The 18,617-nt window shown below is 50.0% G+C and overlaps 1 protein-coding gene across 7 annotated transcripts in view, besides 1 other annotated feature; it reads right to left on the reverse strand.

The window, feature by feature from the left end:
• The window catches only part of ERN2 (endoplasmic reticulum to nucleus signaling 2), a 22,913-nt gene extending 4,708 nt beyond the window's left edge, over positions 1-18,205 (reverse strand). The window contains exons 1-16 of one of the 7 annotated variants that reach the window (NM_033266.4): positions 18,078-18,205; positions 15,896-16,001; positions 15,499-15,532; positions 15,155-15,227; positions 11,990-12,062; positions 11,737-11,844; positions 11,313-11,414; positions 9,866-10,130; positions 7,607-7,685; positions 7,373-7,520; positions 7,135-7,256; positions 5,942-6,097; positions 5,522-5,687; positions 877-961; positions 183-372; positions 2-101 (exon numbers count right to left, since the gene is read on the reverse strand). In NM_033266.4, coding sequence (NP_150296.4) covers positions 2-101; positions 183-372; positions 877-961; positions 5,522-5,687; positions 5,942-6,097; positions 7,135-7,256; positions 7,373-7,520; positions 7,607-7,685; positions 9,866-10,130; positions 11,313-11,414; positions 11,737-11,844; positions 11,990-12,062; positions 15,155-15,227; positions 15,499-15,532; positions 15,896-16,001; positions 18,078-18,170 — 1,900 coding nt within the window. In that variant the 5' untranslated portion in view covers positions 18,171-18,205. Of the gene's footprint in view, position 1; positions 102-182; positions 373-713; positions 962-5,521; positions 5,819-5,941; positions 6,098-7,134; positions 7,257-7,372; positions 7,521-7,606; positions 7,686-9,865; positions 10,131-11,312; positions 11,415-11,736; positions 11,845-11,989; positions 12,063-14,153; positions 14,196-15,154; positions 15,228-15,498; positions 15,533-15,895; positions 16,002-18,077 lie in introns of those variants that run through there. The other 6 variants (NM_001308220.2, XM_011545711.3, XR_950727.2 and 3 more) reach the window with 6 other exon arrangements.
• Positions 9,965-10,465: an enhancer, noted in NCBI's record as "H3K4me1 hESC enhancer chr16:23716303-23716803 (GRCh37/hg19 assembly coordinates)". NCBI's record gives its function as "activates a minimal SCP1, AML or CMV promoter by ChIP-STARR-seq in naive and primed H9 embryonic stem cells {active_cell/tissue: H9 hESC(naive and primed)}" and the evidence as "EXISTENCE:reporter gene assay evidence [ECO:0000049][PMID:30033119]".
• Positions 18,206-18,617: the final 412 nt, after the last annotated feature.

Genomic DNA, 18,617 nt, shown 5'->3' on the forward strand with positions numbered 1-18,617 from the left:
CCTATGTGTAAAGAGTGCAGGTGGGCCAGGCCAGACATCAGCTGCTGCAGCACGACCTCGGGCTCCAGACCCCCGCGATCCAGGTCCGGGTTTTCTACGTACTGAGCAGCAGCAAGGGCCAAAGCATCACTCTCCAGCCCGGACCTTCCCACTCACCCTCCCTGAACCGCAATGCAACTCACCTCCTGCAAGGAGGCCCGGCAGAGCTCCAGGGCAATGTAGTGGAACTGGGGTCCCCGCTCGGTGCAGAAGTAGCGGAGCACGTTGGGGTGCCTGTCAGACTCCTGCAGCAGTTGAACTTCCCGCCGAACCAGGCCAAAGCACTCGCGGAGGAGCCGCTTGACAGCCACTGCCCGTCCCTCAAACTGTCCCCTGGAAAGTGGGTGATGGCGGGGGCAGGGGGGCATTCAGGGAAAGCAGATAAAGGGACAAACATGGTGGCTCACACCTGTAATCCTAGCACTTTGGGAGGCCAAGGCGGGCGGGTCACTTGAGGTCAGGAGTTCGAGACCAGCCTGGCCAACATGGTGAAACCCCCATCTCTACTAAAAAAAATATAAAAATTAGCCGGGCATGGTGATACACACCTGTAATCCCAGCTACTGGGAAGGCTGAGGCCCGGAATTGCTTGAACCTGGGAAGCGGAGGTTGCAGTGAGCTGAGATTGCACCACTGCCCTCCAGCCTGGGCAACAGAGCAAGACTCAAAAAAAAAAAAAAAAAAAAAAAAACAGATAAAGGAAAGAGCAGGACTGGCGAGTGAGGGATCAACCTGTACCCACCTCGGGGAGTCTTTGAAAGAATGTCTCTCCAGGGGACAGTGCCCACGAGGGCTGTGAGTGCCATGTCCCCAGCTTGGCTCCTGGCTGCCACTCACCGGAAAACGAAAGTCCCGCCTGCCCCGCGGCCCAGCACGTCCTTGGGATTGAAGGAAATCTTCCCCACTACGGTGAGTTGCTCAGCTGGGGGAGAGGAGGGTGGTGACTCAGGGAGCCTCTGCCCACCTTTGCCGGCCACTGGCCCAGTCCAGACTCACCTTGACATTTTCTGGGCCTCCACCCTCCCATGCTCAGCCTGGTGCAGTGGGTAAGAGCAAGGGCCCAAGTGCCAGACTGTCTGGATCCAATGCCTGGTGCTGCCACTGATTCTTTGTCTACTTAGGCAAATTCCTCACTTCTGTGCCCTCGGTATTCTCATCTGTAGAGTGGGGAGCTAAAGCTAAAGAGCCCACACAATATTATTGTGAGGATTAAATGGATATATGGAAAGAACGGGTGGAGGTGATGTTTGCTATATTATCCTCTTTTATTTCTCTCCCTCTTTCAGCATCTTCTGCACAGGTTTGTTTTGTTTTGCTTTGTTTTCCCTTTACATCCTCTGCCATTCTGCCCACCTCCACCAGTTGTAACTGAATCCTTTTAATTGACACTGAATCAGCTTCAACTTCAAGGTAAGGTGAGTTCTGGCAGTTGGAAGAGTGATGAGAGTGAGTATAGCCACAGAAAAAAGACTGGACCGGACAGAAGCAGTGGGCATTGGATGCTAACCTGCCCAGAGTTAGTTCCAGGGCAGCAGGGGTACCCCTAGAGGCCTCGGTTTCCCATTAGGATGGGTGGGGTCGGCTCAGGTGGGCAAAGATCTGTAGGTTGGGACAATTACTGCCCTTCCCTTTGGGCAGCCTGTGAGAGACGTCTCACTCTGACCCTGGCAAATCTGGGCAGGCTGTGTCCTGCTCAGCTCCAACGGGCACTATTCATATGGCAAAACATATATGGCACCCCTAGAGTTGTGCAGTGCGGTGGTCCTGAGAACACTCTACTTTATAAGAGTTTTTAGCTTCAGTTTTTACAATCAGCTCTGGGAAGAGTAAATGAAAATCAGCATTAGGGCTGGGCACCGTGGCTCACACCTGTAATCCCAGCACTTTGGGAGGCCGGGAAAGGTGGATCACTTGAGTTCAAGACCAGCCTGGGAACATGATGAAACCCCATCTTTACAAAAAAAACTAGCCAGGCATGGTGTTGTGTGCCTGTCATCCAGCTACTCAGTAGGCTGAGGTGGGAGGATTGGCTTGAGCCTGGGAAGCAGATGTTGCAGTGAGCTGAGATCACGCCACTACATTTCAGCCTGAGTGACACAGCAAGACCCTATCTCAATAATTAATAATAATAATAATAATAATAATAATAATAATAATAAAATCAGCATTAGGGATCAGTGAGAAAACACCAAGTTGCACCTTAGCATTCCTCTGGATTATTTGCTTAGAGTTCATACTCATCTGTCAGTAAGATGCAGGCAGTACCTTTGGTATACACTGGACTTTCTGGAGTAGATGGGCTCAGGCAGGGCCTTGCTGGAAGTACATCACCCACACATAGGAAAAACAGGCAGATCAGAGAGCAGGGACAGAGCTGCTTGAACAAACCCTGCTCATCTGACTGCAGGTGACAGTCACCCTTCTGGGCCCTCTTTGTGTCACTGGCTCTGCTGGACTCAGAGGCTCTTGTGTGTCTGCTCTCAGTACTCTCGGCATGGAGTAAACACTTGCTTAGAGTTTCCTGGATTAGATGTTCAGAAGCACCCTCGAAGAGACAGGCCAGACTTAAGGCCACAAAGGCCTTCAATGCAGATATATGAGCTGGGGAGGCTCAGTCTGCACACACAGATATTTGTTATCACTTTGCTTAGCCTTTTGCATAATTATAATGGAGAGGCAGCAAATGTGGGAGTTTTTGTCGTTGTTGTTGTTGTTTTAGAAACAGGGGCTCACTCTGTCACCCAGGCTAGAGTGCACTGGCGTGATCATAGCTCACTGTAACCTCGAACTCCTGGGCTCAAGCAATCCTCCTGCCTCAGCCCCCCAAGCAGCTGGATTACAGGCATGTGCCTCCATGCCTGGCTAATCTTTTTGTATTTTTAATTTTTGTAGAGATGGGGCTTCACTATGTTGCCCAGGCTGGGCTCAAGCAATCCTCCCACCTAAGCCTCCCAAGCTCAATTCTAAAGTAATCAAAAATCTCGTGTCAGGGAGAAAGGGCATACAGTCAGAATTACCTCTGGAAATCCTGCATACACATGATGGACTTTGCTGCTGCTTCTACACAGGTTGGGGAACACTTACAGTCAGTCACATTCTTTCACAGGTATTTGCCAGGTATTGTTCAAACAGGGGCACCATCCCACAGAAATTAGGGCACTTGCTGGAGCCAGCCACATGCATTTGGACCCCTGAGCTGCCACTTATTAGCTTTGTGAGCCGGGGGTAAGGATGGGAGTTGTCACTAGACCTTTCTGCCTTAGTTTCCTCTTCCATAAAAGGAGAATTCTATAATAACATTCACCTCACAGGAATGTTATCTCATGAGTTAATGCATTCAAAGGATTCAGAACACTGCCTGGTATAGCCTGGTATACAGTAAGCGCTATAGAAATGTTATCCCTGGTTCAGGCTGGATTGCATCCACTTGTTATTGAATACATGATGCAGCCAGAGGTCCTGAGGGAGGCCCAGCCAAGCACATGTAGATGAATTTGTGTAAGTTTTTGTTTTTGTTTTTTGTGGGTTTTTTGTTTTGTTTTGTTTTGAGGTGGAGTCTTGCTCTGTTGCCCAGGCTGGAGTGCAGTGGCGCAATCTTGGCTCATTGCAACCTCTGCCTCTTGGGTTTAAGCAATTCTTGTACCTCAGCCACCCCCCAGTAGCTGGAACTACAGGCACCCACCACCACACCAGACTCATTTTTGTATTTTTAGTAGAGATGTGGTTTCACCATGTTAGCCATGCTGGTCTCGAACCCCTGACCTCAAGTGATCCCCCTGCCTTGGCCTCCCAAAGTGCTGGGATTACAGGCATGAGCCACCGTGCCCAGCCAAATTTATTCAAGTTAAATGAAAGTTGGCTGTGACTCCACTGTAATTTTGTGAACCATAAAATAGTCCATGAGGACTTTGACAAGAATGATCCTGGGGAAAGATGGAGTCCTGGTTGTCCAGGTAAAGATGAGCCAGACTCAACTCGAGTCCGAAGGTCCAGGGAGATGGGCGTTTTGGGGTACAGTGGGGTGAGTATTACTTGGACCCACCCAGGGCCAGTAAAATGACAAAAACTACAACAGCTCAGGGCTCAGGAAATCCTGCTGCAGGGCCCTCTAAAAGAGCTGACCCCTGAGGAAGGGGAGCTGTTTTCCTCTGGGCTAAGGCACAATGACCACAGAGGCGGACATTGCGAACAGCACTGGAGTATCAAGCCAAGTGTGGCATAGACTTCCGCCTGAGAAGGTGACGGCAGGGTGGGGCCAAGGTATGAGGAAGTGGCTTGAGCAGTGACTAGAAGGTGCCAGCACAAGTTCACAAAGACAACCAAAACCATGAGCCAGCCCAGAGCCAATCAAGCAGAAGTAGCCTGGGCTGATTGGTAAAGGCATGCAAGAAGCCCCTGGAACATTCCAGATGCCAGAGGAACCTTGAAAGATTCACAGCTCACTGCAGCCTCGACCTTCTGGACTCAAGCGATCCTCCTGCCTTAGCCTTCTGAGTAGCTGGGACTGCAGGTGCACACCACCACGCCCGGCGAATTGTTTGTATTATTTGTAGAGACAAGGTCTCCCTATGTTGCCCAGGCTGGTCTCGAACTCCTGGCCTTAAGCAATCCCCACCTTGGCCTCTGAAAGTTCTGGGATTACAGGTGTAAGCCACCATGCCCAACCTAAAAGGGCTTTAGTCTTTAGAAGACTAAATTGAGAAAAGATAAGTGTTTAAAAAATAAAAGGTACTAAATTGTACAAAGGTCGTTTACTATTATTGTTTCCAAATATAACATCATTTTAACATGAATATTAATATTACCTAAGTATTATTTAATAATAATGATTGTGACTTCTCATGATGAGATGATGTAATGAACTGGATGTTATTATTCCCATTTGACAAATGAAAAAACTGAGCTCAAAAGAGGTAAACAGAGAGCAGCCTTAGATCTATACCCAGTTTTATCTACACCCAGGTTCCTTGAAAATAATAATACAATAATGAGCTGGGCATGGTGACTCATGCCTGTAATCCCAGCACTTTGGGAGGCTAAGGTGGGAGGATCACTAGAGGACATCAGTTCAAGACCAGCCTGGGTAACATAGCGAGACCCAATCTCTGCAAAACAAAACAAAACTTTAAAACTAGCTGGGCATGGTGGTTTATGCCTGTAGTCACAGCTACTTGAGAGGCTGAGGAGGGAGGATTTCTTGAGCCCAGGAGCTTGAGGCTGCAGTGAGCTATGATTGTGCCACTGTACTCCAGCCTGGGCAACAGAGCAAGATCCTGTCTCCAAAAAAATAATGATGAAAAAATGACAGCAGACACTCCTAGAGTGCTCAATTACGTAGCAGGCTCTACTCAAAACACTCTTCTTAATTCATGTAGACCTAACCACCCCACTATAGTGGCTTTTAATAAACCAGCTTTGCAGCTAAATCTGCCCCTGGCTTTTCTCTGTTCCTGACTGCCCTGTCTTGTTCACACAGGCTCACCTTCAGGGTCGTCGAGTGGCTGGGCTTGCTTTGAGGGACTCTGAAGCCTCTTCTGGCTCCTCCGGCTGGCCCCCGAGTGCAGGGACTGGGCATCCTGGGAGATGTGAGCAAAGTCTGCAGGTGCCAGGGGGGTCTCCTGCTGCTTCTCCACCACCTGCGGCTGTTGCTGTAACATGAGAGCCTAAGAGAGCTTTGTCCTGGCCACGCCCTGCCCCGTGATGGGCCCAGTATCTGTGACTGAGATGGCCTCACCAGACTGCATGAACTTACAGAGCAAGATCGCAGGGGCCTGGGGAGCTGCTGGGAGGGAGGCAGGGGGCAAAATCAGAGCTGGGTAGAGGGAGAGAGTTGCTGAGTGGTCTCAGAGAGGAGAAGCAGCGTTCTCCCCAGATAGACCTGAGGTCAGGGCGGTGGGCCTACCTGCCTCATCACAAAGAGAATCCACCCTCCCAGGAGGACAGCAGTGAGGCTAGCTGCCAGCAGGTCTTGGGGTCCCAGCCCCAAGTAAGAGTCTGGAGTTTTTTCTTCTGGATGCAGCTCGGAGTCCCAAAGTTTCTCTCGGCTCAGGCTCAATAGCTGGGGATAAAGGGCCCTTCACTTTTAGCACCCCCTTCCACCAGGGAACCCCTAACTTTTCTTCATCACCCAGCACAGAGCTGGGCTTAGCTGAAGGGGCAGTGAGTGGTCTGTGTATGGTGGGAAACGTGGCACTCTCCACAGTGCTGAAACATCATGTTGCCCAGAAGAACGGTTTTCTAAACCTACCCAATGACCAGCATTTCATGGGATGTCACTAAAAAATACAGGTACTCTTGGAATGTCACTAAAAATATAGATGTCCACCTCCAGAGATCCTAAACGCGTTAGCGCTGGAGTGGGCTCCCAGGTGATTCTGATGAGCAACCGGATTTGAGAATTATTGCTCTAGGCCATGGCTGTTCCTTCTAACCTTGAGCTACTTACTAGTGATTTTGGTCCAAACCTCTCCCAGGAGCACATGCTTTTATAGTTTTTGTTTTCAATGAATATTTTACAATTTTTACGCTGAAGAAGAATAAAGAAAATGTGACCTATGTTTCATGATTTAAATAGTCAATGTCTTTTTTTTTTTTTTTTGAGACAGGGTCTCACTGTGTTATACAGTGCAGTGGTGTGACCATAGCTCACTGCAGCCTCAAACTCTTGGGCTCGAGCAATCCTCCCACGTCAGCCTCCTGAGTAGCTGGGACTACAGATGCACACAACCATTCCCCACTAATTTTTTATTTTTATTTTTTTGTAGAGATGGGGTCTTGTTATATTACCCAGGCTGGTCTCAAACTCCTGACCTCAAGCCATCCATCCTCCCACATTGACCTCCCAAAGTGCTGAGAATATAAGCATGAATCACCTGCCCAGCCACTTTTTAACACTTCTAACGTGTTTCTGGCAGTAACAACAACAACAACAACAACAAGTTGTGTTGTTCCCAACAAAAAGTCTGGGAAATTGTGTGAGGTCAATTGACCCACCCCCGAGTGTTATTCTTAGCAGCCCGAGGAAAAGATCCAAGGGCTATTCCCCCCATCTGCTGGGGCCTCCCTACCCCCACTCTCTCCCCTCCCAGCACTGACCTCCAAGAAGAAGGCTGGGGCCTGGGTATTCTCTGGAGGTCTTGTCTCTGCAGTTCCACTCCCCAGGGTGGGATGGACCCTCAGCATGGTGGTGTGCAGGACTGGGGGTAGCTCGTGGTGTCCTAAGGTGGGGGGCAAAAGTCATCAGGCTGAAGGGGACCTTAGCTTTCCAGCTCAGAAGCTGGGCTCACAGGTTCTTTATCTTCATCTACTCCCAATTTGAGCCAGAGGATCTCACCAATGAGCAGCCACTGGCTTGGGAGGGCCACACTGCCTGAGGGGTATCTAACAGCAGTGCTGGGTGAGCCCTCTCGCTCTCCTGAGACTTGGAGTGTCACCTCATCTGTGGTGGGGCCATCTGCGGGGGCCAGGGTCAGTCCACGAGGCTATGGCAGAAGATGGAGAGCCATGAGTGAGGGAGGTTCTTCTCCCGTTCATCCTCTTTCCAGCCCACTCAGAGACCACTTCTTACCACCAGGGCCACTCCTGTGTGGACCAGTGCTTTAGAGACATAGAAGCCAGTTTCATCCTTCCCCACATACAGCGTCATTCTAGTGGGAGAGAAGAAAAAGAAGAGAAGAATGAATGCTGGTGATGGGTAGTTTCAGTTATCAAGGTACTCATGCCCTTGTATATTTCCCTCTCACATTGACTCAGCTTAGCCATGAGACTTGCTTTAATCAATTAGACAACAGCAAATGTGACATAAGTAGAGGCTTGAAAAGTGCTTGTGCCTTCAGGCTTCCTTATGCATTTTTCTTTAGACCCTGAGACCACCGTGGGAGAAAACCCAGGCTAGCCTGCTGGGGTGTGAGAGATCTCTTTAATCCCCCATAGGTCAAACAGTCCATCAACTATGAGATAGGTAAGTGAGGCCATCCTAGATTCTCCAGACTCAACCAAGCCATGAGCAGACTGCAGAAAAACAACCCACCCCAGCTGACCCACAGAATCTTGAAAAATAATAAACTGTTGTTTTTTAAGTTCTCTGTTTTGGGGCAATTTGTTATGCAGCTAAAGCTAGCTGATACATGTTCCATAGTCATGATTTCAAATCTATGTCTAACCCAGACCTCTTTCAAGAGCTCAATTTTCTAAATATAAACTCATTACATCGTCCTTTACTTCTTCCTCCTTCTTCTCCCCCACCTCCTCTAGTGTTCCCTGCCTCTGAAAATGACAGTACCCACGTGCTTCTAGAAACCTGAGCATGATCTTTGACTCCTTGCTCACAATCGTCAAACTCCCTAATCACCAAATTTTTACTAGTTCTTCCTTCTAATATATCTTACACTCCACCTATTTTCCTCTCTCTAGTTTCTGCTCTAGTATAAAGTATCTTCATTTCTTGCCTGAACAAATCAATATTCCATGAATGGTCCACTTCTTTCCATATACCATTCTAAGATATTCTTTCTAAAATGAAAATATGATTAAATCACTTCCTTCCTTAAAACTCTCCAGTGACTTTTTAACTTTAGGAGAAAATGTCCAAGCCCTTTAAATGATCCTACAAGATCTCTTCTTAGCTTATAATCTCAGGCTCTACTCCTTTCTCAGGTCTGTATTTCAGTCTTATTTAATTTTTTCCTGTTACCTGAATTCTATGCTCTCTCATCTCTCTCATTTCCTATTCATTTTTTAGGTTTCAGTTTAGATGTTCCTTCCTCTAGGAAGCTTTCCATGACTGCCTCCTGTCCCCAGTCTTGATGTGGGTACTCTTCCTATACATTCCCATGGCATCTTATACTACTTTCATCTCATCCTTTATCATATCAGGTTGCAATAGTCTCTTCACATATCTGTCTCTCCCATTAGACTCGGGTTCCTGAGGCAGGAACAATGGCTGGGTTATTTGCTATTGTACTCCCAGACTCTAGTGAGACTGGCACACAGTAAGTGCTCAATTAATATTTGCAGAATGAATTGAATGAATAGATGATCCCTGATTTTCCCAAGCTGTCTACTGGTTTATCAAGATGGGGACACTAAGGTATTAGATGCAATAATACCTTAAATAAGTTGTTAAATAAGGTAAGTTAAATAAGGTTGTTATTTAAAGTATTTAACAATCCATAAGGCACAGCACCTACCAACCAGAACAGGTTAAGACCTGGAGTCCCCCTCTGATATGGTTTGGCTGTGTCCCCACCAAAATCTCATCTTGAATTTCCATGGGTTGTGGTAGGGACCCGGTGGGAGGTAATTGAATCATGAGGTCTTTCCCATGCTGTTCTTGTGATAGTGAATAAGTCTCACAAGATCTGATGGTTTTATAAGGGGGAGTTTCCCTGCACAAGCTTCTCTCTTTGCCTGCCGCCATCCACGTAAGATGTGACTTGTTCCTGCTTGCTTTCTGCCATGATTGTGAGGCTTCCCCAGCCACGTGGAACTGAAAGTCCAATTAAACCTCTTTCTTTTGTAAATTGCCGAGTCTTGGGTATGTCTTTATCAGCAGCATGAAACAGACTAATACACCCTCCTAGGCCAGATCTTACCGTATGAGTTGCTGAACAGTGGGGGCTACCCAGGGGGTCCCGGGGACACTTGGAGGGCAGCAGAGGACACTGGTTATTTACCAACCAGTTGGGTAAGTAACCAATTTGAAATGTTTTGACCCCTGGTTCAGCGGTACTGGTGTGTCACAGCTGAACATCTCGCCTGGCCATCAGACCCAGGTTGCGACACTCCCAGATGGCTCCCTCCCTGGGCCCCAGGCACGAACACCTACAGCAGCTGGGTGTCCAAGGTAGAGAAGAGGGTGGCTGTGTCCCGGGGGCCTGAGGCAGGCAGTCGGATGTGGCCCCAGCGGAGGGCGAGGAAATGCAGAGTGTCTCGAGCCAGCGTGAGATGCGGCAGCTGGCGCAGGCCGTCCTGGTGCCAGGTGTAGACGCCCATCACAGGCACGCCCAGGTCCTGTGTCCACAGCACCGTCCCGCTTCCTGGGTCCACAGTGAGCAGCAGGCCCATCCCGCAGGACGCCAGGTGGCTCATGTCTGCCGAGAAAGGTGGCTGGGGAGATGTGGTTGGAAGCTCTCCTAAGAGGGTCCAAGGGTGTGCCCTCTGGGTGAGGGGTCAGTCTGGTGTGTGGAGATCACATGGAGGGTTATCTGGACATGAGAATGTTTGTTGGAGTTCATGGAGTCACTTTGAAAACGAGGCCATCAGTCAGGGTCATTCAAAGGTGACTCAGATGTGTGGGAGTCAGTTTGGGTCACTTAGGATGGTGGGGTATTGCTCATGGTCAACATATGGTCACCTGGGATGGATCAATCAGGGTGGCCTGGAGGCATTTGGGTCACTTGGGAGTCACTTACAGTGTGAGAGGGGTCAGTTGGGGCGAGTAGGTGACCTCACCTCTGCTGAGGTGACCTGTGTAGGGTCTCATGCAGAATGATGGAATCAGGGCTTGAGGGGGCCTTGGGGCACCTGTAAGGTCACTCAGGCAGTTGGGTATCAGTCATAATATCAAGGGGGTGGGCCAGGTGTGGTGGCTTATGCTCGTAATCCCAGCACTTTGGGAAGCCAAGACAGGAGGATTACTTAAGCCCAGGAGTTTGAGACCAGCCTGGGCAACATAGCAAGACCCCATCTCTACACAAAAATTAAAAGATGAGCCAGGCTTGGTGGTACACATCTGCAGTCCCAGCTATTCAGGAGGCTGAGGATAGGGGATCACTTCAGCCCAGGAGTTGGAGGCTACGGTAAGCTGTGATCACAGTACTGCACTCCAGCCTGGGTGACAGAGTGAGACCCCATCTCACAAAAAATGGTGGGGAGTGGTCGGGGTCACCTGGGGAGTCGGTCTATGGAAGAGGCTACTTAGGGTTAGCTTTCAGGGGTTATATATAGGGGTCAGTTAGGACACACAGAGATTGCTTAGGGGCTGTTTGGGGTCACTCTGGATGTGGGAAGTCATCCAGGGTTACCCGGTTGGGGCCACTTGGAGTATAGAAGAGTTAGGAGGTTGAGGGATTGGCCAGGGTTCAGGAGGGTCAGTCTGGGTGTTGAGGGAGTCACTTGGGGTCAGCCATCAGGGGTGTGCCATTTAGTATATGGGGTCCCTGGGGAGGTCAAGTGGGTCGAAATGTGGCTGGGAATTGGTCATGGATGCTGTTCAGGGTTCCCTGGGTTGGGGACCTTGCTCCAAGATGGGACCAGAGAAAGGTGGAACTCACATTTCCCAGGTGAGCCATCCATGGGGGGCGCTGAGTAGCGGCGGTAGGTGGTGTTCCAGCGCAGGGCTGGGGCTCTTGGGTCATGCATGGTGACCGTATACTCTGGGGATCCCAGAAGCAAGATTACCAGGAACGTCCATTTGATGCTCCCTCCAACCCCAGGGGCCATTTATCTTGCAGGAGTGGGGGTTTCCTGAGCACACAGCCTAGAGACCTGGAAGCCTGTGAACATCACAGTGGCAGAGACTGGAGCTGTCTTGTTTACAGCTCTATTCCTGGCTCCTAGTTCAGTGCTCTGTAGAATGTTTGTTGATGACTAACAGACTGACTGTCCTGAATTCAACTTGGTTAGCCACAGCTAGATCTCAGCAGAGCAAAAGGGGAGGCTGCCCAGAGCTTGAGGAACAGCTGGGGCCCAACTCACGTGTTCGGCCAATGTAGAGGCGGGGGGTGGAGGGACCCTCTGTGGTCAGTGTCATCTGGGTCTCCCCTGACTCAGGGTCCACCACAAACCAGGCATCCTGCTTCCGGCCTGTGGAGGTGGAAAGTGTGTTAGCTCTCAAGTTGGCATGGGAAGAGGTGTGGCCCCGCCACTCTTGTGCCTAATTAGCCGTCACGACTTAGATCCCTGCCTCTGCTGGCTGAACCTGGACCCCACAGGCTGAAGAGATGCTCACCTGTGTAGAAGACCCCATCAGAGCTGCGGCAGGGAGAGGCATGAACCAGCTCAGGGATGGTGAATGGCAGTTTCTAGGAGACGGAAAATTTACAGGAAGGAGTAAGAGCAGCAACACACAGTGCTCACTGTGCCAGGTGAGCCCATTTCCATAGCAACCAATTAACAGGTATTACTATCATTTCCACTTTTCAGGTAAGGAAACTGGGGCTTGGAGAGGCCATGTAACTTGGCTAATGTCACACAGCTACTAAATGGCAGAGCCTGGCCTTGAACCCAGGCAGTCAGGCTCCAGAGCCAGCACACTGAATCATTTTGCTACACAGCCTCTTGAGGAAATGCAGAAATTCCCACACCCAGTGTCAAGGTATCATGTGAGCCACTTGCTCTCGGCCTGACCTGACCACCTCCTCGAAAACTTGCACTGGGGCAGGCATGGTGGCTCATGCCTATACTCCCAGCACATTGGGAGGCTGAAGCAGAGGATCGCTTGGGCCCAGGAATTCAAGACCAGCGTGGGCAACACGGTGAGACCTCGTCTCTACAGAAAAAAAAAAAAATTTGCTGAATATGGTGGCATGTGCCTGTAGTCCCAGCTACTTGTGAGTCTGAGGCAGGAGGATCGCTTAAGTCCAGGAGTTCAAGGCTGCAGAGCTATGATTGTGCCACTGCACTCCAGCCGAGGCAATAGAGTGAGACTCTGTCTCTAAACAAAATAAAATGAAACAAACAAACAAAAAAAAGCCGCACACACATCAAGTGGGGAGTTTAATTCCAAAAATCCAAAACAACTCACATGAATATTTCAAAACTGTCAACAGCCATGAGAGACTCACAGAAGTGAAGGAGTTGTTCTAGAATAAAGGAGACCATGGCCTGATGCTGGCTAGGAGTGGAGCTCCATCCTCCACCCTTCTCTACTCTGCTTTCTCCCCAAAGCTGGACTTGTCTGGGTTATGTCTGTGGGCACCATGTGCTCTAGCTTCCTGCTGGGTTTGGATAATGGGGACAGGGTGAGATCAGAGTATGCCCTGCTGTCCTTGTCACAAAGTCCTCACGGGCTGGCTGTGTTCCTCTACCGAAGCCCTGAGGTCCCATCGGGTGGTGCTCTCGGGACAGCTCTCTCCAGCTCCAGGCTGTGGTAGCTGCTCCCTCCCCAGCCTCCAGAATTAGGGCTGATAATGTCACCCCACTGTCACAAACCAAAGGATACTGCATGATATGTTTTGGATTTGTGTCCCCACACAAATCACTTGTTGAATTGCAATCCCCAATGTTAGAGGTAGGGCCTGGTGGGAGGTGATTGGATCGTGGGGCCAGATCTTTCCATTTGGTGCTATTCTTTTTTTTTTTTTTTTTTTTTTTTTTGGAGACATGGTATCACTCTGTTGTCCAGGCTGGAGTGCAGTGGTGCGGTCTTGGCTCGCTGCAACCTCTGCCTCCCGGGTACAAACGATTCTTCTGCCTCAGCCTCCCAAGCAGTTGGGACTGCAGGCACGTGCCACCACACCTGGCTAATTTTTGTATTTTTTGGTAGAGACGGGGTTTCACCATGTTGGCCAGACTGGTTTCAAACTCCTAACCTCAGGTGATCTGCCTACCTCAGCCTCCCAAAGTGCTGGGATTACAGGCATAAGCCACCGTGCCCAGCCAGTGCTGTTCTTGTAATAGAGTTCTCACGAGATCTGGTTGTTTAAAAGTGGGTGGCACCTCCTCCCTTTCTCTCTCTTGCTCCTGCTCTGGGCATGTAAGACGTGCCTGCTTCCCCTTCATGCCTTCTGCCGTGATTGTAAGTTTCCTGAGGTCTCTCCAGAAGCAGAAGCTACTACATTTCTTGTACAGCCTGTAGAACCATGAGTCAATGAAACCTCCTTTCTTATAAATTACCCAGTCTGAGGTATTTTTTTATTATAACAATGCAAGAATGAACTAATATACTGCACTATCCCTTGTGGTTTCCTATACTCTGCTCACACTTTTAACAAAATGTCCTCAAACTATTCTATTTGAGTATGCCATGTGTTTGCAGCTGAGACCTTGCCTGATTGACACACTAAAATTTCTTATCACTTCACCTTCCTAAATCATATACTTAAGACTTTTCTAGCAGGCTTCCCCTGACATGGTTAGAATTCTGACAAAGAACTGGGTGTGGTGGTGTGTACCTGTAGTTCCAGCTACTCAGGATACTGAGGTGCGAGGATTGCTTGAGGCCAGGAGTTCGAGGCTGCAGTGAGCCTTGTGATCGTACCACTGCACTCCAGCCTGGACACATAATGAGATGCTGTCTTTAAAAAATTTGTTTAAATTAAAAAAAAGGAATTCCGACAAAGCACATTCCACCCCATTCAGAGTCCTGATGTGGAAGATTGCAAAAAATGGCCACAGATTGCTTTTCATCTTGTATTCATGTCTGTGTCTGTGTCCCTTCACACGGTGAGTTTTCAGCTCCTTCCATAAAGAGATGGAATCTGTTTTTTCACCACTGGATTCTCAGCTTGGCCATGTGACCTGCTTTGGCTGATGAGCCATTAGCAAATGTGACACAAACAGAAGCTTGAAAAGTGCTTATGTATTGCTGCTTTGGGGTCCCTTGTTGATATCATGTGAACAAGCCTAGGCTTGCCTGCTAGGGATAAGAGACATATGGCCCAGCCACCTCTGCCAAAAGCCAACCAACTACCAACCAACTTTCAGAAACACAGCCATCCAGTTGACTAGCAGCTGACCACACATGCATGAACAAGTTCAGTCAAGACCAGCAGAAGAACCACTGTGCTGAGCCCAACCTAAATTGTCATCTCACCAAATTCTGAGTTGAATAAATTTAAGTGATGTTTTAGTTTTAAGCTCTTGAGTTTTGGGTTGATTTTTATTTAGCAAAAGCTAACTGGTATATACATTTCTCTTTAAAGCCCTCAGAGTCCTGGAGAAGGCCCTGGGATACCTCCAGCTTGATAGTCAGATTGCCCTGCAGACACAGCCAGACCTCCCCTTACCACCCTTTCAACAGGTCCCTCAGACAGCCTTCTCACAATGTGCTGAGTCCTGACTTATATCCTCTGCAGAACAGGAGATACTGACCATACTGCCTCTCCACCTCTCAGTGCTCCAGCTGACGAAAGCCCTGGCTCTCACCCATTCCCGAACACCATGGGATACAAACCATTAATCCCTGTTGTTTTTGGGTCCCCAAGATGTACAGGCTGCCATCTGCTGGGTCAGAGAGAAAGGCCATTCTGTGGAGCAGAGAGAAACAAGGAGACCAATGGGTTCTTGCCCCCTGGTTTCATGAAGGCCCCAAATTCCTTCCAATTTCTCAGCTACTAGGAGCCTGTTCTTGTAGGAAACATCATGGGGCTCCAAGACCCTCCCCTATATCACATCCAGAGCCAATTCTCTTCCCTTACTTCCAACATGTCCCTGCCCCACATACAAACTCTCTCCAGACAACTATGAGTCCCCCATCTCCCAGAAGCCTCCTCCTTAAAAGGCCCCAGGTTCACTTACTCTGTGACGTACATTGGTCCTTCGATGACGGGATCTGCAGGGACAGGGACACAGAACATAAGCAGTTTCCTCCAGACCCCACTGAAAAGCACAGCTCATATTCACTGAGCTATGGCATGACTGTGATGTCAAGCACTTGGTGTGAATGTAATGCCATCTTCCCAAAAACTCTGTCAGATAGGGTCATATCCTTTGCCCCATTTTATAGATGAGGATGTTGAGGATCAGAGAGGTAAGGTGGGTTTCTCAAGGCCACACAGCTGGTAAGCAGTGAAGCTGCCTGTAGATACCAGCTTATTGGATTCTAGAGCCCATGTTCTTATTCTCTATGCCACAGTGACTATCCCTTCACCAATCTATGGGCCCAAGGAGGGAGGAGGGACCACCTCTTGCTCACCATCCCTCAGAGTCCACTTCAGGTCCCCTGTCTGCTTGCTTAGTGCGTGGAGACTTCCATCCAAGGTGGACACCAGCAGGAGGTTCTCTGGCCTGAGAGTATGAACCTGCAAGGGGGTAGAGACAAAGTCAGCTCTCTGAGGGGTCTGGGACCACCCTTTGCTCCTGTCCCAAGCAGGGCTGGCCATGACTCCCCTTCCCCCAGATGGGGATGCAGCAGGGGAGGAAGGGTGATTGGGGAACGTGCTGGTGTCACTCATCATCTCTTTGACCCTAGAGAAGGGTTATAGTGGAAGCTGGGGGGTTCTGAGGGGAGGTTTTGGCTCCCAATGTATCTAAATTCCCAATTACTTACCTCCTTCCTCAATTCATTCTGGTTTTCCAAAGAAGACTAAAGGCCTTTACAAAATGACTTCATTGTTTGTTTTGTTTCTTTTTGTTATTGTTCTTGTTGTTTTAATATAAGACAGGGTCTTGCTCTATTGCCCAGGCTGGAATGAAGTGGCATAGTCATAGCTCACTGTGGCCTCAAACCCCTGGGCTCAGCTGATCCTCACACCTCAGCCTCCCAAGTAGTTGGGACTACGGGTGTCTGTCATCACACCTGGCTAATTTTTGTATTTTTTTGTAGAGATGGGGTCTTGCTATGTTGTCTAGGCTGGTCTGGAACTCCTGGCCTCAAGCGATCCTCCTGCCTCAGCCTCCCAAAGTATTGGGATTACAAGCATGAGCCACTGCACCCATTCTAAGACTGGTATTATTAGTTTTCCCATTCTACAGAGGAGGGAGACTGAGGCTCAGGAAAGTTAGGTCATTGGTTAGGTCATTGGCATAAAGCCACAGAGATAATAAGTGGCAAAACTAAGGACTTGAGTTGCCATCCCTCTGATTCCTATGCCTGGCCTCTTTTTCCTCTGCCACAATGTCTACCTCTTTTGGGATGCCCCTTTCTGCCTCCCCAAACCAGCCCAGCTGGTTTTGGTGCCAGGCTCCAGTGGGTCCCTTGACCCAAGGCTGGGGGGTGCCCTTGGGAGGGGGGCTGGAGCCACCCGTACTTACATCTGGCGATCCTGGGCTCACTCACCTGCTCCAGTCCCTCCTTGAGCAAACAGGGTGAGGCTGAGCTCCCAGCAGGAGGCCTAACATCCGGGTGGCCCAGCCGCACCCCTACAAAGGCCACATCCTGCTTCAGGACCCTCAGGTTTGGGGCTGGGCCACTGGTGTTGAGTGGAGGGTCAGGAAATTATCTGCTAGCCCCTCTTTCTTTCTGGGCTTCAATTTTGTCATCTGCAGCATGGCAGGAGGGAGAACGGTTTGGAGAAGAGGCTGCAGATTGGTTGCCCAGAAATGAATTTTGTTTGACCATCTAGTGCTTAAAAATTTTTCAATTAGCTGCCAATTTTTTTAAAAATTGGATGATTTCTACAAAAAAACCAAGATTTCAAATCTTTCTCATTTCTAATTTTTCCAGAGACATCCGATCTGGCCACACTGGGCTTGCATTCTTAGCTGGCAACCATGAGGTGGACCCATGAGGTGGAAGCCGGGAATGAGAGGTGCCTAACTCTACCTGATCGCTTTTGCCCCATGGGGGTTCTAGGCGGGACACCTGGATTCTTAGGCCAGGCGACTTTTGCCTCCTGGCTGCATTTCTGTAAGACTCTGCTATTCCTGGCACCGTGGGAGCAGATACTGACACTCCCAGCTCATTTATCCCATAGGTTCTGAACCTGGGGTGCAGCCATGGGTAAGGGGACCGTATTGTAAAGCCTCTGAAATTGCAAAACTGGGCGTGCAGGCTCATTTCTCAGCAGAGGGCCCTGAAGTCAATCATATTTTCAAAGGAAGCCAGGATTCCCAGAAGTTTTAAGAGGCCTGGCTTTCGTGCCCAGGTGCCCCCCTACCCCAGACTACACCTCTCCCTGCTGAAGAGGCGGGGTGCTCTGTCTACTCTTGCCTTTCCACGCTGGCAGATCTCCCCAGCTAGGTATTTGTTGGGGGCAACTGGCGGCTCCCCAAACCCAGGAGGCTTTTACTCCGTTGGGGCCGAGTTGGGACCACCCAGGCGTGAGGGAGGGAGAGGTGCCCCCGTGGCCCCGCCGCGCCCTCGCCCCAAGTGCGACGCCGCCCCCTGCGCCCCGCGACCAGACTTTGGGGACTTGGCGTCGGTCCCTGGCTCTCACCTGTGGACTCAGCGTCCCGAGCAGCAGCGCCGCGAACTGGAGCTGGAGCCCCAGCCGGGGCCACGGCCTCGACCCCCTGACCGCACTCGCCATAGCGCCTGGGCAGCTGCACGGCTGGCCAGGTCCCTGGGTGCCTCCAAGGGAGCGCTCTGTCCCCGCCCGACCCGGAGAAGGCTCCGCCCCTGGCTGGGCCTGCAACCCCAGCCTGGAGTCCTCGCCGATCCCCGCCCTTCTCATCACACTCCCAGCCGCATCCTCGCGTCCCAGTCACCCCACCAAACACGGTGGGGCGCTTTCCCGGGAGAGGGATTTTACTGAGCCCACTTATGGAGAACTTGCCACGTGCCGAGGACCGTGCCGGTTCATCATCAGTTCCTGGAGTCCTCACTGCACAGCAGGTACAAGCGGAGGCTGAGAGCCGCAGTCCCAATACAGATCCGCCTGATCTCAAAGCCTGCGCTCTTTATCATTGCACCAGCGGATCCCGGTGGGCTATCAGGAAATAGCGATTAATTGGTGAATTCAGTCGTTCGTTCAATA

The sequence above is a fragment of the Homo sapiens genome, chromosome 16 (genome assembly GCF_000001405.40).
Source record: "Homo sapiens chromosome 16, GRCh38.p14 Primary Assembly".
Lineage (NCBI taxonomy): Eukaryota > Metazoa > Chordata > Mammalia > Primates > Hominidae > Homo > Homo sapiens.